At 41.6% G+C, this 21,494-nt stretch overlaps 3 annotated features.

Annotated features, from left to right (window-relative positions):
* Positions 4,054–4,143: an enhancer, noted in NCBI's record as "active region_17014". NCBI's record gives its function as "activates an Ori minimal core promoter by ATAC-STARR-seq in GM12878 lymphoblastoid cells {active_cell/tissue: GM12878}" and the evidence as "EXISTENCE:reporter gene assay evidence [ECO:0000049][PMID:35858748]".
* Positions 4,214–4,363: an enhancer, noted in NCBI's record as "active region_17015". NCBI's record gives its function as "activates an Ori minimal core promoter by ATAC-STARR-seq in GM12878 lymphoblastoid cells {active_cell/tissue: GM12878}" and the evidence as "EXISTENCE:reporter gene assay evidence [ECO:0000049][PMID:35858748]".
* Positions 15,420–16,619: an enhancer, noted in NCBI's record as "P300/CBP strongly-dependent group 1 enhancer chr2:204675919-204677118 (GRCh37/hg19 assembly coordinates)". NCBI's record gives its function as "activates an origin of replication core promoter dependent on BRD2, BRD4, P300/CBP, MED14 and CDK7 cofactors, with strong dependence on P300/CBP, by STARR-seq in HCT116 cells {active_cell/tissue: HCT116}" and the evidence as "EXISTENCE:reporter gene assay evidence [ECO:0000049][PMID:35650434]".

The following is a 21,494-nucleotide window of genomic DNA, read 5'->3' on the forward strand; positions in this document are numbered from 1 at the left end:
TGTTGGACATAGATATTGCCGCCCAGATAATAATGCAATAAATATCTTTCTTGGCTGTCATTAGAAATGATGTTTAAAAAGACTATAGGGTGACCAACCCCTTTTCAACACTAAAGGTTAAGAGAAACAAGAAGTGATAGGTATAAAAGTATCTCCTGCCCTTGCAGAAAAAAGTCTCATGCACAGAAAGAAGACCAAAAGGAAATAGAGTGCACCAGAATACTAACAATGGTTGTTTTTCAAAAGTGATATTATGTGTATTTATAAATAGTTATTTCTATTATTTTCTGTTCTGTCAAACTTTCTGTAATGAGTTTATAATATTTTATGATAAAAGAGAAACCAATAAACCTAAAAAACCCCGAGAAACTTAAAAAATTTAAGTGCAAAAGTTTCCTTTGACAAAAAACATTTATAAGCATGTTGTCAAGGTATTTTAGAGTTCTTTCACTATTTATGGCATTTCATCCATATGTGGACTATTAAGGGCAGAAATACAATATCTTTATTTGGGTCAAAAATCTCTGTATTCAAAAAACAGAACTATAAGGCATTGCAGATAGGAAAATACGAATATGCTCTGAAATTAGTATTTTGGATCCACTATGAGGAAATGCCAGCCTGACATGAAATATTGAAGAGAAGGCAGAAAAAAAAAGCTAGACTATTTCATTACTAATATGACAAAAGCAGAAGCGTTACTAGACCAGCTTTAGAACAGCCCAGCTTCCCCTTTCACTTAATTACTTAATTTCATTCATTCATCCTCACTTATTTGCTCACACAAATATTCATTTAAATATCATATAGTAAGGCAAATTAACCTCTCTGATTGGAAATTTCCTCACAGGTTAAATGGGGACTATTCAGGGGTACTACTTAATTTGCTTAGAGGGTACTTCTGAAAGTAAGGGATAATGAATGTGAAGTTCCTGGCACCTAACAGATACTAAAAAAAAATTAGAACATTGTTGTTGTTATTATTCTTCCCATTAGGTGCCCAGCTTAGTACTAACCACGCTTGGGGAAGGGTTTCACAATAATTCTGGTGAGGAGGAATTGGTGCCACAGCGTGTTAGATGCTACTTACAATTAACAGCATAGAAAACTGTGTGTGGTTTATCCCTAAAAGTAGATTGAGTATGTCTCTACAATTTTTAAATTAATTTTTATCATCTGTGCTAAATCCTTAGTTGAAAGATATCTTTTGTTCCCTGAATCGGTGGCCTGACCTGTATTTTCACTAGCTCTGCCACTGAGACAGGCCATACTCCTTGCCTAGTGATAGCTGAAAAGCTTCTTGCTGGTAAGTAAGTCACCCCTTACCTTTATGTGAGGTGATGACATGGACCCCTTAAATCTTTCCAGAGTCCGTTGGTAGGCTTCTTGGTGGAAACTGCTAGGTGCAAGTTTTTCTGTGAGTACCTGGTAACAGTAACCATGTGTCTCAGTGGCTAATGCATCTTGTGGCCACTTGGAATAGCAACAAGAATCTCCAGATGGAAGGATGCTGCCAATGAGACTTTATATAGTTAAAAGAACATTTGGAAGTCTGGGGATACACATGCACTTTATGTAAATCCAAATTCAATTTAGACTAACACCATGGCCTTCTGGCACCCAATAAGGCAAGGCAACCCAGATGCATGTTCCCATCAGGTGGTAACTCATTAGCTGGAGTAGTCCAAGCTTTCAGTGGTTATGATGAGGGCCCTGTGAGAAAATGCATGCACAGTGCCTAGCATGGTCAGCAGTCAGTAATAGTGACGATTATTTCTGTTGTCAGCATCCAAATCACCATTCTCATGGCTCTGTGGTAATTATCTGATGGCTCAACCAAGAAGGAGCTTGCCTCATTCTAGCCGGTTGCAGGATGAACTTAGTGCCTGGGAAACTGCTTTTCTGGTTATAAAATCAGGTTTAGGGAAAACAGGAGTTGTGGCATATGGAGATATCCTGTTTTTTCCTCCTAACTTGATGTGTGGGCTGTTCTTTTTCTGTCCTAGAAATCATAGTGTTTTAGAATACCTCTTCTTAATGCCCATTCCCCTCTTTTTTGCTGGGATACACATGAGTGCTACATACTTCCACTGAATGTATCCAGATTTGATCAAAAACAGCAAATTGTGGTAAAGCAAAGCACCACGGTTATTCATGAGTCACAGAACTATATGCAGTTCACCAGAGCTGGTAGCTGTCTCAGTTTGGGCCCTCTCTGAAGCAGAGCCTGAAACAAGGACTTGGATGCAGGCAGTTTATTATTATTATTATTTTATTATTATTTTTTTGAGACAGGGTCTCACTCTGTCACCCAGACTGGAGTGCAGTGGCATGATCTTGGCCCACCATAACCCCGCCTCCCAGCGTTAAGTGATTTTCCTGCCTCAGCCTCCTGAGTAGCTGGGATTACAGGTGTGTGCCACCACGCCCGGCTAATTTTTGTATTTTTAGTAGTGATGGGGTTTCACCATGTTGGCCAGGCTAGTCTTGAACTCCTGACTTCAAATGATCCACCCGCCTCAACCTCCAAAGTGCTGGGATTACAGGCGTGAACCACTGCTTCCGGCCCAGGCAGTTTATTTGAGAGGTGATTCTATGAAGCAGGAGTTAAGGAGTGATGAGATAAGGCGGGAAAGGAGGAAAAACTAAGATAAGGGCACATGATGGAGTTTGTCACATTAAGCAAGGGGGCCTTGATTCTCCCCGGACCGTGGAGAAGCATGCCAAATGCCTCTCAGAAGCATCCACCTGAAGGGTTCTCCAGTCACATGCTCTTGAGGATTTCCCTGAGCTTTACTGCTCTGAAATTCTGTGTTTATGCTTGCACATGGTGAGGTGGAATTCAGAGAGAGCCATGAGGTAAAACAAAAACAAAACCAACAAATTAGGGTGAGGGGATCTTCTAGAAAGGTGGAGTAAAGACCTTCAGAAATCTGCTCTTTCATACAAGCAGTGAGAACTGTCCAAATCAACTTTTTCAGAATTCTGGAAATTACTTAAAGTCTTACAGCAGTCTGGGTGCTTACTCAAGAAAAACAGCTGAATCTCAGTAAGAGGAGCAAGACCTGTGGCATTCCAAATTGCCCTAATTCCATCCCACTCTCACAGCTCGGTCAGGCCATGCAAATCAACAACCTTAAAACCGGCAGTTGTGAAAACACAGCCTAGCAGCTACTGCAGGGTGCAGAACAGGCTCGGAGTCCCCCAAAAGCCCATCCCTAGAGAATTTGTCACTATTTGACCTGACAGCTCAGGGCTCGTCTGTTTCATTTGACTCAGAGGTTGTTCCATGCAACCAGCCCTACCCATAGGGCATTTATCAACAATAAGCAAAAGGCAGTTGTTTAACATTGCATTACCTGAGGTGCCATTACAAATTCAGGCTAACAAGAGGCTAAGCACAAAATATAAGAGGAACACTGGTGAATTAGATAACTGTATGGGTTTTGAAAAGCTTTGCCATATTCCTACAAATCTAGAAGGCCACATGCATGCATAGGGCTGTGTACATGCTCAGGAAAGTACTGGAAGACCCTAGGCTCTCACCTGTGGCTGACTTTAAAGCTCTGTATATGCAGGAAGTGAAAGCAAAGGCAGAATTGGAAATGGCTGCTAAAATGTGGGCCAAGGCACGGTGGCTCACGCCTGTAATCCCAGCACTTTGGAAGGCCAAGGCCGGGGGATCACCTGAGGTCGGGAGTTCGAGACCAGCCTGACCAACATGGAGAAACCCCCATCTCTACTAAAAATACAAAATTAGCTGGGCATGGTGGTGGGTGCCTGCAATCCCAGCTACTCGGGAGGCTGAGGCAGGAGAATCGCTTGAACCTGGGAGGCAGAGGTTGCAGTGGGCCAAGATCACGGCACTGCACTCCAGCCTGGGCAACAAGAGTGAAACTCCATCTCAAAAAAAATAAAATAAAATAAGTAAAATGTTGAAGGAGTGACCCAACACACACACAGATGCCACAGGCAAAGACTGGGAGAATCACTGGTTCAAAGAGTTTAAGGAAATCTCGGTCCAGTTATGAGCTGACCGCTAAGCTAACCAAGCTGAGACTCCAGTGGCTGCATAGGGCAAAGAATATGGACTAAACAGAATTAGTCGAGGAAAGTCACTAAACAAACAACAGCAATAAAAAAACAACAAAGAGCAATAACAGCAAACCCTGGGAAGGAAGGGGAATCTGATTTCCAGAGGTGACACATAATTTACAATATCTAGTTTTCAGCAAAAAACGATAAGCCTGACAGATCAAGTAGTGACAGCTCTCCAGGGATGGGCTTTTGGGGAACTCCGAGCCTGTTCTGCACCCTGCAGTAGCTGCTATTTTCAGCTGTGTTTTCATAATTCTCGGTTTCAAGGTTGTTGGTTTACAAGGCCTCACATAAGTATGGCCCACACACAGGGGAAAAAAAGCAGTCAATAGAAACTGCCTCTGAGGAAACCCAGATGTTATACTTACTATACAAAGACTCCAAATTAGTTATCATAAATATGTTCAAGGATCTCAAAGAAACCATGTCTAAAGAATTAAAAGAAAGTATAAGAATGTTGGCCCATTAAATATAGAATATCAACAAAGAGTTATAAATTACAAGAAAAAAGAGAACTAAATAGAAATTCAGGGCTTGGAAAGTTGCTATAGACTGAATGTTTATGTCCCCCGAATTCATATGTTGAAACTGAATCTCCAGTGAGATGGTATTTGGAGGTGGGGCCTTGGGAAGGTGATTAGATCATGAGGGCAGAGCCCACACCAGAACTTGACCATGCTAGCAATCTTATCTTGGACTTCCAGCTTCCAGAACTGTGAGAAATAAATTTCTATTATTTATTTATTTATTTATTTTTTTGAGACGGAGTCTTGCTCTGTCGCCCAGGCTGGAGTGCAGTGGCACAATCTCGGCTCCCTCCCGAGTAGCTGGGACTACAGGTGCCTGCCACCACGCCCCACTAATTTTTTATATTTTTAGTAGAGATGAGGATTCACCATGTTAGCCAGGATGGTCTCGATCTCCTGACCTTGTGATCTGCCCGCCTTGGCCTCCCAGAGTGCTGGGATTACAGGCATGAGCCACTGCGCCCGGCCTGTTCTTTATAAGCCACACAGTTTATAGTATTTTGTTACAGCAATCCAAAGAGAATAAGAAAAAGGTACAACAACTGAAATGAAAAATTCTCTAGAGGGTATCAACAGCAGCTTTGCACTAGAAGAAGAAAGAATCTGTGAACTTGAAAGCAGGTCAACTGAGAGTGCCTAGCTTGTGGAACAGAAAGAAAAAGAATAAAGAAAAATGAATGGAGCCTCAGAGACCTGTGTGACACCATCAAGCATACCACATACAAATAATCAGAATCCAAGGACAGGAGAAAGAGAAGGGGATAGAAGGGGATAAAATATTTGAAGAAATCGTGGCTTAAAAGCTTCCAAACTTTGATGAAAAACATTAATCTGCACATCCAAAAAGGTCAACAAACTCCAAGCAGGAGAACTCAAAAAGATTGACACTTAGATACATGCATTATAGTCAAACTTTTGAAAGACAAAGAGACTATTGAAAAAAGCAAGAAAAACACTCATCACATACTATGGATGCTCATAACAACGTCATTCATAACTGTCAAAAAGTGGAAACAAATGTCCGTTAGGGGATGAATGGATAAACAAAATGTGGTACGTTCATATAAGAGAATATTATTTGGTCACAAAAAGGAATGAAGTTCTGATACATGTTACAACATGGACGAACCTTGGAAACTATGCTAAGTGGAAGAATTCAGTCACAGAACACCATGTACTGTATGGTTCCAGTCATATGAAATGTCCGGAAAAGACAAATCTATAGAGACAGAAAGTAGATTAGTGGTTGCCAGGGGTGGAGGAGAAAGAAATGGAAATTGACCATTAATGGGTATTTTCTGAGATGACGAAAATGCTCTGGTATTAGATAGCACTGATTAATGCACAATATTGAGAATATACTAAAACCACTGAATTGAACACTTTAAGAGTGAACTTTGTAGACTGTGAATTTTATCTTGATAGGCTGTTATTTAAAAAATCAAACAAACTACTTGGTGAGTGCTTGAGGTGGGACACTGCCAGCTGAAGACAAATTTGAGCTCCCATGAACTGCCCCACCACTGTCATGGCTGAAATCAGGTGAATTCAGGGCAGGTGATGTCTGGCACCAAAGAGATATGCTCCAATAGCCTGTGAATAGGTAAAATAAGCTGCAGGTTATGTGCTATTTCTGGAGTTTTGGGGTAAATTTGTGCCTTGCTTTCCTGCTCAAGCAAATGAAAGGGAAAATGAATGAATAGAAGTGGTGCAATTTATAGTGATTACATTGAATCCCCTGTAATTAAATTTAAATACAATTCTAAATTTTATATTCTAAATACAATTCTAAATTATAATATTTTAGAAAAATCATTCATAATTTTTTTTATTTGTGGTACATCTCACAACAGATAGAAAGTTAGCACTGTGTGGCAAGAGCCTGGTAGACAGCCTGGCTTAAGAGATCATCTATTTCAGTGGGTCCCAGATTTTGGTAACCACAAGAGTTACTTTAGAAGCTATTAGAAATGTTGACTCTGGATCTCTCCTATTCTCTAAACTCTCTTCTCATTCCTCGGCTAAAGAATGTGATTCACTAGGTCAGGAGAGGGGCTGAGGTGTCGACACTGCCAAAAAGCAGCCCTGGTGATTCTGATGCAGGCAGTCTATGGTTCCAGTTGAAAAATATTGATATTGCCCAACTCACTGGTCTTAGATGAGATAATTGAGACACACAGAGGGGAAATGACTTGCTTGAGGCCACATGATAGAAGCAGAGGTATAGAGTGGGAATTTGCATTCAGGTCTCGTCACCTGCAGTCTCATGCTCTGTCCATTCCACCACAGCTCTTCTCACATAGTTGGATTAGAACAGCCCTGTGGTCACCACTCAGGAGTGCTCAGGAGAGTGGTGGACTTGTGTCAGGGAGCATTCAAACCACTATACACTTGCCAATGGCTCAGGCAACCCGAATTTCTGCTGCTTTTGCATATAAAAAGCATCTTGTGCAGAGCATCAGAATGTGAGTGATGCCACGTGGGAGCCGAGGAAGGCCAGTGAATGTGAGAATGTGCGTGTTTGAAAGTACTTGGAGATTTCAGAGAGTGGCAACCCAAGGACCCACAAATGACTCATTTCTTTTTAAACCAGAGCTACATAGTGTTAAGCATTCAAACATTTTCAGACATGTGGATCACTGACTTTAGTGTTCAGTTTCCTGCTGGCACCTAATACCATGAAATTACATTGCAGAGAATTCTAATTCATAGTCAGAACAGTTATAAATATATTTGGCTACAAAAAACAGAGACAATGAAAGGAATGAGACAGAGTGCTATGAACACTCTTCAAAGATAAAAGATTAGTCTTGAAACTATATCATAATTTTATAGAATGGGGAGTCTAGGCTGAGAAAACCTTATATGGTGGCATAAGAAAACATGGTGCATTGCGGGGACTGGGAGATACAGAGTTTAGTGTGGCTGGGTAAGGAGTGTGTTTGGTGTGGCTGTGTGTGTGTGTGTGTGTGTGTCTGTGTGTCTGTGTGTGTGTATGGGAGGCAGGGGAAGGGGAGATTAGGGATAGGGAGGAGCATGAACCCTGAGAGACAAGGTCAGGGTGGGAGGAAGATCCAGATCACTAAAGGCCTCAAATGCTATTTTATGGAGCTTGGACCTCATCTAATTGACATTGGGGAACCGCTAGAGGATTTCAAGCCATGCAGGTGGAATTGCAGTTTAGAAGGATCACTCAGTTTGGAGTATGGAGAAAAGCTAGAAAAGGGATGCAGGAACAGAGGCCACTAAAAAATGATAAGGGCCTGAACCAAGGTCTTGGTTAGAAGTTCTTCCCAAGCTTGAGGACAACCAGTTTCAGTTGCCACCACTGGGCAGGTCCCCAGAAGACACAATACTTGGGACCATTGTCCCCACTGCCTCTTTACTTCTTAGGAGACATCTGTGATCAGATTTGAGAATCAAATTTCAGAGAGGCAAGCTTGGACGATGGGTGTAAGTGTTGTAAGAAAAATTGGTAAGGAGACGAGAAGAAAAGATGAGAAAAAGGAGCAGGGAGAGGAAAAGAGACAAGAGAAAAGATATATGAATATCTAGAACTTAGAAGAATCATTAAGAGGTCATTCTTAGTTTGCAAAATGTTTCGTAACGATTGCTTTAAGAAAAACACCCAGAATTTTTAAGCTCTATATCTTCTCTAGTGATTAATTTCTAAATTCATTTTGAAGAGGTCATTATTAAATTAATTATCTCATAGCGATCTCATGTATAAATATCATGCCAAAGAGGTAAAAATTTATCGAGGCTCACACAGGAAGCTGATCAACATTCTGTGGTTTGACAATCTGCATTCTGAGCAGGAGCCAGGGTTTAACTTTACCACATCTCAGAGGAATTCAGATTTTCTGAGAAAGGGCTGAAAAATTTGCACTCCCTGGGGTGGCAGAGGAGGCTAGGGCTAGAAGCCAGGTTACCAAATCCCTGTGTGGAACACGTGGGCAGATGTGAAAAGTGGGAGGAATGTTCAGACCACATCGTCTCCTAGTGAAAGTACCAATGCAAGCTTGCAACCATAGCAACACAATAGCCCTATTAAAACACACACACAAAATCTGTCAATGAATTAAAAAACTCCACTTTTTGCTAGTAAGTAAAGCTTGGCGTTTATTTTTGTTTGCTCTTTATCCATTTGATTAGAAACCCGCTGTTAAAAGACTCCAATTCCTTGATAACCCTTTCTAGTACAGAGGCAAACATTTTAGGAATATAATTTGTACTTGAAGAGGATAATTCTCTTGTGACTCTAGAAGGGAGAAACATGAAGAAAATACGAACTAATAAGAAAGACCAGGTGTGGCAACTCATCCCTGTAATCTCAGCACATTGGGAAGCTGAGGCAGGAGGATCACTTGAACCCAGGAGTTTGAAACCAGACTGGGCAACATAGTGATACCCCATCTCAAAAAAGAAAAAAAAAGAAAGAAGGAGATGGCCTTAAGGTTTCTTGTCTTGGCACCAAAATGAAATCAGTGATGAGTGGGTGGAGGACTGGAGTTACTATGGGCAGTGCGTGGGGGAGATAAGAAGAAATTGCCCTAAAGATATGTCAGGTCTCTTTCTAAAGAGTAGGACTTGGACCAAGGAGAAGGAAGTGAGTCATGCAAGCACAGGGTCAGATCCTGTCTTCATTAAAAATGTGATATTTTGATAATGATTTTCTTGCATTCATTTTAATTCTTTAAAATATTACACGAAAATGTTATTTGATTAATTTTTTAGTGCTCCTTAAAATTTGTACCTGATACATCAACTCATGCTAGTTCCTGCCCTGCTAAAGGGAAACATTAATAAATGAGAAAAAATATTTATAGTTCATATTAAATATTGTTTGCATTCCGAACTCTACTTGGAAAGCAAAGCCATGTTCTCTAGGTCCACAGGTCCCAAGCTCTACCTCCCGTGGTTTCCCAAGGCCAGGGTGTGTGGAATTGAACATTTCACAATCTGGGGGAGACAACACAACTTTATGGTTTTTTCCTCTGGTTGCTTTGAAGATTTTCTCTTTATTTTAAGCAATTTGATAACATTATGCCTTCATGAAATTTTCTTCTTGTTTCCTAAGCTTGGTGTTGGTTGAGCTTCAAATCTGTGAGTTTATATCTTTAGACAAATTTACATCTAAAAAAATTAATTTAAAAATTTTTTCTGTCTTCACATTTTCCAACAGGAAAATAATATATAATTGGACTGCAATACTCCAATTATATGTGTATTGGACTGCTTAAAGGTGTCTGATGTTCTCTTCATTTTTCAGTGTGTTTTCTCCAGGAGTTTTATTATGCATGGTTCCTATGGCTATGCCGTCAAGTTCACTAATATTATTTTATTTGGTGTTGAATCCACTGTTTATCCTACCCAGTGTATTTTTTTCAGGTGTTGTAGTTTTCATTTCCAGAAGTTCTATTTGGGTCATTTAAATAGATCTCATGTCTCTTTTTAATGTGCTTAATCTTTCCTCCACCTTCTTGAACATATGGAATATAGTTACAATAACTACAATGACATGATCTCAGCTCACTGCACCCTTGACCTCCTGGGCTCAAGAGATCCTCCCACCTTAGCATCCTGAGTAGCTGGGACTATAGGAACATGCCACCACACCTGGCTAATTTTTGTATTTCTTGTAGAGCTGGGGTTTCACCATGTTGCCCAGGCTGGTCTGGAATGCCTGAGCTTAAGCTATCTGCCCACCTTGGTCTCCCAAAGTGCTAGGATTATAGGTGTGAGCCACTGAGCCTGACCATAACTACATGTCTTAATGTTTTTCTCTACTAATTCTAACATCTTTATCATTTCTGGGTCTGTTTCTACTGATCAATTTTTCTTTTCATTATGAGTTATATTTTCCTGTTTCTTTGCATACCCAGTAATTTGGATTGGATGCCAGATATTGTAAATTTTACCTTGTTGGGTATTGGTTTTTTTTATAGTCCCATAAATATTTTTAATGTTTGTTCTGAGATACATGTGCATTACTTGAAAACAATTTGAAGTTTGCTTTTAAGCTTTGTGAGGTGGGATGAGAGCTGCCTTTGGTATAAGGCTGATTTTTCTCACTACTGATTCCAGACTCCCAGCTCCATCTTCTCAACTAAATGAGACCTCCTCTCTGCATGGTATCTTGGAAATTTTCCAGGCTGTGAGCTGGAACAATCATAGAGCTCACCTTATTTGCTTTCCCGCTCTTAGAGATCACTGTCCTGTGCTGTCTGATGTTCAGTGTCTAAAAACTATACTTTCTGATATTTTGCCCATTTACTTTTTAGCATTTTTCAAGACAGGATCAATTAGGTCTTTGGTATTCCTCTTTGCCTGAAGTGAAAGTCTTGAACATTATGGCTTCTGACTGTGGTTGATGAGTAATATTTTTAGAGAACAAAATAAAGTATACCTTGAATGACCAATTAAAGCTTTCTGAATGGTTTAAGACACTTTAATAAAATTTACATCACCTATAAGTGTCAAAACAATTATAAATTTATACTCATAGTTTTCATATAACCCCTTAGTGAGTAGGTGTCAAAGTTTCATTTCTCATTAATGAGGTAATCAGAAGAATGATAAAGCCAGTGAGGAAAGTGACACAAAGAGAAGGCAAATGGCCAGGCACAGTGGCTCATGCCTGTAATCCCATCACTTTGGGAGGCCGAAGCAGGTGGATCACTTGAGCCCAGGAGTTTGAGGCCAGCCTGGGCAACATGGTGAAACCCTATCTCTACTACAAGTACAAAAATTAGCCAGGCGTGGTGGCACACACCTGTAAGCTCAGCTACTCAGGAGACTGAGGCATGAGAATCGCTTGAACCTGGGAGGTGGAGGTTGCAGTAAGCCGAGATGGCACCATTGGACTCCAGCCTGGATGACAGAGCAAGACTCTGTCTCAAAAAAAAAAAAGGAAGGGGGGGACAGGCAAATGACGTATTAGAAGGAGGAAGAGAGGCAGAGAGAGAGAAAGGGAGAGAGATGGGGAGAGAGAGAATGGAAAAATATGCTGGAATAAAATTGCTAAATTACATACAAACTGGTTAATGTCCCACAGGGCAAAAAATCATAACCTTTGGGGTTATCATCTAAGCTGAACAGAAATAATTTTTATCTCTATGATAAAAAACTCATTTGCATCATATTTGTTTTCCACAAGTTACATCAAATCCTTTACAGGCTTAAAAATGTCTAGATGTTTAATAGTAGTAATGGTAAAAGTTACTTTCCACTAGAGGGTCAGATGATCCTTGGATGGGCTAAAAGCAATGTTTTAATAAGGGATTGGATGGACACAAGTCATCTTTTTGCGTTATTTCCAAGTTTTGGGAAAAAAGGTTTTGGACAAATTTTTTTTTTTTTTTTTTTTTTTTTTTATCACAAGAATTAACTGTAAGTCGATGTTATCTGCCATGACATAGCTGGCCACTCTGGGCCTACATTTGCTCATTTAATGAAAAGACAAAACTAGACTAGTGGTTTTTAATTGTGATTATATGTTAGAATCACTCAGGGGAGCTTTTCGAAAATACAAAAGAAAGGGTCTTTTACCAGACCAACTAAATCAGACACTTTGAGGGGGACGTCTGGGCATCACCAAGTTTTTCAAAAGTCCCCTATTACCCTAATGTGCAGCCAGGGTTGAAAACCACTGGTCTAGACTGAGTTGCTCAGACCCCTTTCAATAACAATGCACTGTGATTCTATAGCTTGAAGCACAGGCAAATCATTTTTGCGCTGAAGAAAGTTGACATAAATACAAGCTCTGCTGACCGCAGTGCATTCCCAGTGACTTGGAAATGATTCAGGGCTGCCAGCATTCATTCCATGGTGTGGAAGCAGTGGGAAGAGCCAGGGGTGGGAGCGCTGAATGACCGGCCTTTGTGTTCCAATTAGATACAGTCAGCTTGAGTTGTTAGAGAGAGATAGGAATGTCTGCAGCCCATTCTTTTAAAAAAAAAAAAAAAGATATATCAAAATTCATTTTGTGCCCCTGGCTCTCTGTTGCTAACCTCATTCCCACTTCCGGAGCAGGTGCTCTTTCATCTTTCACACAGTTATTGGAGATGGCATTTCTGATTTAAGACTGTGCATTAGTAAATTAAGGCCATGACCAGTAACATGCACAAAAATAGCGCAACAAGTATAAGCCTTTAAAATAATGTTAAATAATGAAATTCTATTCCTTCATGCTTGTTATCACTGAAATCCATTTTTTGTAGCTTTTAAAAAAATTACAAATCATTAAAAGCAAGGGCTTTTGAAATGCTTCACCCTACAACTATGCTTATAAGAAACACATAGGATATGTTACTAACTGAGCAAGCCGGAAATTAAAAGAAAAATTGTTTAACTTGATAACTTTTTTTAAAAAATCATAAATAATGTTGAATTTTTTCAAGTGGCTTTTGGGCATCTTTCTTGATTATTGTTCAACTTCTTTCCTTTGATCTGTTAACATAGTGAATGTTAATAGATATCTAAATATTAAGCTATCTTTTGACTTCTGGGATCAATACTATTTGTTAATGATAGGGTATTCTTTCAATATTCTATTTGATTTCATTTATTTCCCTTCTGATACTTTTGAGGATAATCTTCTTTTGTATATAGCAAGTTGGGTAGGGACGGTGTTAGTTTCATAATCATTTGATAGATTAGAAAACTGAAACACAGAGATAGTAAATGACTTATTATCTAAGAACAAATGGCAAACAAGTATTTGATTTCTGGCCCAGGGATTTTTGGTCTGTTCTCCACCAGGAAATTAGTGTTTCATCAAGCAAATATGCCATCCACCAAGTATTTCAGATAACCTCACAATATTTCACATAACCTAAGAGTAGTGTCTTCTAGTTTAGCTACATCATTAATGCCATTTAAAATCCTAATTCCTAATGCTCTCCTTTTTTTATTCTCCACAGTGACAGTTGTCATAACTATATCTAACGATTGTGGGACTTGGAGAAAAATGCAGAGTGGAAGCAGGAGGAGGTGAGAATAAGGAGGCCAGAAGGATGGCTGAGTCATTAGCTGAGCTCTCCAACCTCCTCCTGTACTATTCTCCCCTTTACTCACTAACTCTAGCCACACTGGCCTTCCTTTTGTTCTCCGAACTTTCCAAGTCCATTCACGGCTTAGGGCCTTTGCCTTTGCTGTGCCTTCTGTTTAAAATGGTCTGCCCTAGACTTATGCATGGCTGGCTCTTTCCTTTAGTCAGGCCTCAGCTTACATACTACCTCCTCAGAGAGGCCTTCCCTGACCTTCCATCTAATTAGCAGATACCCACTATATAGGTTGCATATCCATAATTCGAAAGTCCCAAATCCAAAAAGTTCCAAAATCTGGAACTTTTTGAGTGCTGACATGATGCTCAAAGGAAATGCTCATTGGAGCATTTTGGATGTCTGATTTTTGGATTAGGGATGCTCTGCATGGGTAAGTATAATGCGAATATCCCCAAATCTGAAAAAAAATATTGAATTCTGAAGTAATTCTGGTCTCAGGCATTTTGGATACAGGATACCTATCCTGTATTAGCTTGCTAGGGCTGCCTAACAAAGTACCACAGACTGAGTGACTTAAACAACAGAAATTGATTATTTCACAGTTCTGGAGGCTGGAAGTCTGAGATCAAGGTGTCAGCAGGTTTGGTTCCTTCCAATGGCTATGAGGGAGACTCTGTCCCAGCGTCTCTCCCTACAGCTTGTTACATCATCTTTTCTTTATGAGTGTCTCTGGGTCCAAATAAGAAGTTTACTGGGAGGTGATCCTGGCAGAGGAGGGGAGGGGTGAGGCAGAGGATAGAAAGAAGCCAACAAAGGGTGTGCACTGTGGACAACTGGAGCTTAATCCTGCTGAGGCCCTCTGGGAGCCAGTGTGGAATACACCCCAGAGTCATCTCCCCCAACGGGCACCCGTGTTCACCAGTGTACCCAATTCCCATCAGCCATGGTTGGTCTGCTCTGGGGTGCTCATGGGTGGAGAGCTGCTCATGACTCTGGTGGCTAGAGAAAGGCCACAGACAAAGAGTTGGTGGGCTGCTGGAAATCCAGTCCACCAGTGCCCACTGAAAGATAAGGCCTGAAGGAGTAAAGACAGGGCAGTGACTGTGTCAGCTACTGATTGACACAGTGGCTGATGGGCTACAGTAGATTGATGGGTGTGTGGCTGGGGCAGAGAGGCAGTGAAGCTATGAGGAAAAATTTTCCCTACTTTCTCCCCTAGGAAGTAGAGGAAAAGTTCTTTTTTTTTTTGTGACACAGAGTCTCCCTCTGTTGCCCAGGCTGTAGTGCAGTGGCGCGATCTCTGCTCACCGAAACCTCCGCATCCTGGATTCAAGCAATTCTCCTGCCTCAGCCTCCTGAGTAGCTGGGATTACAGGCATGCACCACCATGCCCGGCTAATTTTTTTGTGTGTTTTTAGTAGAGACAGGGTTTCACCATATTGGCCAGGCTGGTCTGGAACTTCTGACCTAGTGATCTGGCCGCCTCGGCCTCCCAAAGTGCTGGGATTACAGGCATGAGCCACTGAACCCGGCCAAGGAAAAGTTCTTGATGAACATCCTCTTGAAGACTATTTTGAATAGGTAATACTCCACATTGTATACAATTCGAGTATAAAAGTACACAGTGAAAAGTGTAAGTCTCCTTTTCTCACCACCCACGTCTGTCTTCTGCTGCACTTTCTTGTATATCCTTTCAGAGACAGTACAATGGTGTTGAGTGTGCGTGTGTGTGTGTACATATTGTACAGGTAGGTATTACATATGTATACATATTACACATACAGTTAATATATATGTGTATGTATGTGTGTACACATACATATTTATGTTTTTACATAAATTGCCCCACACAAGCAGTAGCATATAATATATTGTGCTCCTTTTACAAATGTATCTTGGGGAACTTTTTATATTACTGCATGTAGCTTTGCCTCAGTTTTTAAAATGGCTGCATAGCACCCAATTTAATGGATGCACAACAATTTAACAGATCTTTTAAATTGTTTAAAAATATTTTTCTTCTGAACTAAGTATTTTTGTGCATGTGTTATTGAGAGCATTACAGGAATCTGTAGGGTAAGTGCGTAGGAATAGAATTGCTGGGTTGAATGACACATGCATCTGAAATATTGATAGATAGTGCAGAATTTCCTGGACCTAACATACATTCCTATGGGATTGACCATTAGGAGGCCAAAGAACGGAAGTGGAGGGGTAGGGAGTAGAAGAGGAGGGTGGGGCAGTGAGGCCTGGAATAGCAGACATCAAGATTCTGGTGGCACAGTTCCTGCTGAGGACAAGGTCCAGGGTGTGCCCGCACCAGGAAGTGGGTGGCATGGGGCACAGTGCAGGCGAAGGTCAGTGAAGCAGAGGAAGTTAAAGAGCTGTGAGTTGGTGGGTGACTCACCCCGGTGATGTCAGCTAGTTTATGCTGGTGAGCTCTTCATCAGAACTGGAGAAATGTGGTTAGAGAAACCTTCAGCTTCTCTTTAAATCTAGCAGGGAAGAGCCAGATGCCTCCCAGTCCATTGTCTACCCTGAGGAGCAGAGAAAAAACTCTTCACACTTTCACTCTCTGAGGAGAAAGCACGTCAATCAAAATGGCTGCCTCAGGGGACCCACCATGATGTCTCCATTTTTTATGATGGCATCTGTGGCACCGGGACAGGCAGGGCTGTTTCTGCAGATCCTCCAGCTTCGAATGAATTATGCCTGTGGACAACTCATTTCACATCTCGGGTCCTCTAAGTGTTTCTGACATTGTCAGAACAACCCTGGTCTGGGGCACCTCTTTCTTGATAATAAAACCAATAGCAACAATGACAGCAGTAGCGGTTAACATGCTGAATAATCAGTTAGGGGTTGTGTTCAGCCGCAGGTAGCAGAAACCTGAAAAACACTGGTTTAAATCAGAGACGAGTTCTCATTTCCCTCAGGTACCATGAAGTTCAGGGATAAGCATCCCATGAAAGGTATAGCAGTTTCGCACTGCCTTTTGTGTCAGGAGCCTCTGTTTCTGCTCTGCCTCTCTAGTGTTGACTTCCGTCCTCCTAGACGGTGGCTGGAGTCCTAGCCATTGTGCCTGTTTCATGCTGGAAGAAGGAGGTAGGGGTCAAAGGCGAAAGGGAGCATGACGGATGAATTGACATCTCCCGCTCCTACCTTTTAATGAACTGTCCCAGAAACCCCACTCAAGCACTGGAAGCTTACATCTCGCTGGACAGCTTATAGTCATGTGGCCACCCCTATCTGCAGGGAGCCTGGGAAACAGATTTTTAGCCGTGCTCATTGCTGTCGCCACCAAATCAAGGTTCTGTTAATAAAGTAAAAGAGGAGAACAGATATTGGCTAGGTAACTGGCAGGGTCTCCCAGATGTCCCAGGCACTTCACATTTTTTAAAAGTTGTATTTTATTTTTTACTGTGGTAAAATATACATAACATAGAATTTACCATTGTAACCATTTTTAAATGTACAGTTCATTGGCATTACATATATTTACAATGTTGTGCAACCATCACCATTATCCACATCTCAAATAGTACACTGTACCTGTTAAACAGTAACTCCTTCCTCACTGTCCTGGCTCTCAGACACTGGGAACTTCTCTACTTTCTGTCTCTATGAAGTTAGTACCTCATGAAAGTGAACTCATACAGTATTTGTCCTTTTGCGTCTGGCTTATCTTGCTTAGCATAGTATTTCCAAGGTTCATCCAGGTTGAAGCATGTATCAGAGCTTCATTCCTTTTAATGGCTGGATTACATTCTATTTTATAGATATATCACATTTTGTCTATCTATTCACCTGTCGGTAGACATTCGGGTTATTTCCAGCTTTTGGCTCTTGTGGATACGCTGCCAGGAATGTTGGTGTACCAGTATCTGTTTGAGCCCATGCTTTCAAGTCTTTTGTGTATATACCTAGAAGTGGAATTACTAGATCTTGTGGTAATTCTGTGTTTAACCTTTTGAGGAGCTGCCAGTTGCCCTTTACATTTTGTATTTTATGTTGTTTTTACAGACTTGTAGTTGTTGAAGCCAACGTTGGAACTGATCTAGAGGGGCTGCCTCCTCTGGATCCAGGTGACTCTCTAGCTGGTTGATGCTGCCCACTGTATCTATTCAGGGATTTCTGTTCAATATATGCTGAAGTGAGCTGGATGGAATTATCCCTATTTTAGAAATGAGAAACAAAAATAGGAGGCTAAGCCAGCGATATACCCCACTCTACCCTTGGTAACCAGAGCTCCACTAATCAAACTTCTGGCTCTGCCCTTAGGAAGGCTCACCAAGTGCTTGTGGGCAGTCTTATTGGGCCTGTAGTCGATTTCTTTGATCAGTCTGGACTTGTAAAGACCACACCATGAGGTTCCAGACAGTAGCTATTTCCATTCCCATGCTCACCCTCAAACCAACCTGTCACAAATTCAACAGGGAGAGAGAAGATGAACTTTGTTCATTTTGGGCCCCTGTGATAGTTCAAAGTGAGACTTATCATAGTGGTTAAGAACATGGCAGACAGAGCCAGGTGGCTTGAGCTCAAATCCCAACTCTACTGTTTTCTGTGTGACCTTCATTGAAATTATTAAACTTCTCTGTGCTCAGCTTCCTCATCTGTAAATTGGGGATTAATAACAATGCTTTTGCTTAGTTCATATGGTTGTTGTGAGGATTACCTGAATTAACATGTAGAAGCAAGTACTTTAGGAAGGTACCTGCACCCTGGAAGTGCTCTGTAATGGGGGGGTCAAGGTAGTAGTGTTGACATTTTGATTATACCTAAGAAATGGAAATTCTCTCTCTTTCTCTCTCTCTTTTTTTTCTTCTTTGAGACAGAGTCTCACTCTGTCACCCAGACTAGAGTGTAGTGGCACAATCTCAGCTCACTGCAACTTCCGCCTCTTGGGTTCAATCGATTCTCCTGCCTCAGCCTCCCCAGTAGCTGGGACTACAGGCGCGTGCCACTACACCTGAATAAAATTATCTTAACAATAATAGTTAATAGCAAAGTGACCATGGATCACCACGGAAACTTTGGAAATTAGAAAAAAAGAAAAAAAAAGGAACCAATTTAGGAGGACACACATGAATACATGGGGAAGCACAGCTGGATGGGTTGAAAATTCATTGGACCATTTTGGCCCAATGTCACAGGCTAGAAAATGCTAGCCACTTGGCATCTAAATTTGTTTCACTTCTGAATTGAGTGCATGGCACCATTGTGAGGATTCATTAAAGCAAAGATCAGGCTTGATAAACTCTTATCACTAAACAAATATAATCAAGACTTAGAGCTATAAACTGAAGTAAACCCTGCAGCTCTGATAGTCACTGCCCAGACTGATTTGGTGTTTGTGGCCAGGTCTTGGCACTAAAACTGAGGGAGACTGTGGAAAACATGGAGGGAGTTCAGAGGCCAAGGACAGACATGAGGAAGAGTTGGAATTCTTATTTATTTATTTAGAGATAGGGTCTCGCTTTGTGGCCCAGACTGGAGTGCAATAGTGTGATCATAGCTCACTGCAGCTTCAACCTCTTGGGCTCAAACAAGCCTCCTGCCTTAGCCTCCTGAGTAGCTGGGACCACAGGTGTGTGCCACCATGCCCAGCTAATTTTTTTATTTTTATTTTTTGTAGAGATGGGGTCTTACTACGTTGACCAGGCTGGACTTGAACTCTTGCTCTCAAGTGAATTGCTTGCCTTGGACTCCCAAAGTACTGGGATGACAGGCATAAGCCACGGTGCCTACCTAGTTGGGATTCTAATGTAGTGCATGTGTACCAGATGTCGCTCACTGAAGATGGGACTGGGATGATTGCACCAGGATGTGAGGAATTGGGCTAATTTTCATATAGCATGGAATTTAAAATGCCAGAAAGTGTTTTTGAAAATGGTGAAATCTGAGTCCTCCTCTATGATTATCCAACTGTAATAGGGAAGTGGAAGCTACACTACCAGTACGGCGGTTGTTGCAAAGATGGATGGACGCGAAGCTCCCGCCGTGAGCTGTTTAGACCTGATTCTGTGAGGTCTGGAACTAGGTATTTACTTAGCAGTCACCTTCTGCCATCTATGGGTTTATATGTTTCATTGCAGTTACAGGGGAGTAGGCTGTGATACCATCAGACACAAAGCTGATGTTTTTGTTAAACTAGTCACACCTCCTCCTTTTTGTCCACAAAAGCCATTTTTCATTTTTTCAGTATGTTTGTTTTCGTTTTTGGTAGATAAAACACTTTTTGTGATGATAAATAATTATTTCTTTGGAACAAGGGGGGAAATTTGTATTGAGACATGCATGAGGAAGGACCTGGGTGCCTGGATTCCATTTGTTAAAGTGTTTTTAATAGCCAGGAAATTCTTCCCTCTGCATTAAAAGACGAAGCCATCATTTTGAAATATCCTGTGAGGCTTGCATTTTCCCTCAGGTTACAGGAAAAGGGGACCAGGAATTGCAGTGATTTCTGCTTTCTATTGTTCTAATGCTTTATTTTTAGCATCAACTAGGGTAGGGAAAGCCACTGATTGTGACAAAGGAAACCGGGAAGTGCTGTGAAGGGCAGGACAGATAGGTGGGCAGTAGACATAGGAAATCAGGGAGGACTTTTTAGAGGGAATGAGGTGGGCTCTGGGTTTGAAAAGAAATGAAAGTCACAGGAAGAGGGGATACGCTGCTGGAAAGGACCACCTAGGTGCTCCTTATGTTCTGTGTCTGCAGTTCAAGAGAGTTTCATGCAGAAAGAGGACACAGTTTCCCACAAGGCTGCCTCATAGCTAGCTTCTTTCCTTTGAATCTCCATGTCTATTTCACCTGCCTGTTTCCATGCTAAGCTCCCTCTCCTTCTCTCTGGTTCAACCACACGAGTCTCTTTCGGTTTCTGGAAAGCACTGTGGTCTCCATCACTAGGGGCATTTGCATCTATTGCCTGCTCCGCTAGAAACTCTCTGTGCCCTGGGAACTCCTCTCCATTCCTTATATCTCAGCTTAAAACTCACTTCCTCAAAGAGGCGTTGCCCATTCCCTTGGATTGGCTCTACGTGCCATGCATCATATTCATACTTTTCAGGAGCTCAGATTCCGTGTCCAACATCAGCCTTCTTTCTATTGCAAGTACGGCACTGTGCCTGCATCCCCCTTATCCAGGAAGAGGCACCCATTGGAGGAGTCAAGAGGGGAAAACAGTAACAAAACTGTACCTATTCCATTATTAAGTTTTCTGTGGAGGTTTATTTTAGAAGCTAGGCTAAAGGTGACCAAATGTGCCAACTCACCAACTCATGGTAGAGTTGAGGGATAGAATACTGTGGGTGTCATTTTCCCAGTACAGCAATGGACTTGGCCCCTGTTTTCTGATTCCTCCCTGGTCCTGTGGGGACAGGAGGGGCAGCACTCTGGGATGCAAGCTCTGTCTTTCCTCCTACCCCCAAGGGTGGAGTAGGATGGTGATTGTGCAGAGAATCATATGGCTGGAGCATGACAAGACCACTAAACTCAGGAAAAAGGGAAGGAGACTTTTCTCCTTCCATTACTTGGGATAAGCTATTTCCCACAGTGCAAGGACGAATTGGAAAGATTAATTATGGTCGCAGTACAACCCTTCAACTTCTTTTTTTTTTTTAATTTTGAAGAAGAGAAATAGAAAAAGTAATCCAAGAGGCTAATTGGGCTGCAGTATTTGGGGAGAATTAGAGAAGATGAGTCCTGGAGAGATGGGTAAGGATCAGGGCTGATACAGAATGCACAAAGCGGGGTCTGGAAGGAGTCCTGGGTTTCAGCTTCTGCGATGTGCTAAAGTGGGGTAGCACAGCTGTCAGGGGACACCTAGCTCAGCTGTTGGTGTCAAGATGGTCCTGGAAAA

This window comes from Homo sapiens, chromosome 2 (genome assembly GCF_000001405.40).
Source record: "Homo sapiens chromosome 2, GRCh38.p14 Primary Assembly".
In the NCBI taxonomy this organism is placed as follows: domain Eukaryota; kingdom Metazoa; phylum Chordata; class Mammalia; order Primates; family Hominidae; genus Homo; species Homo sapiens.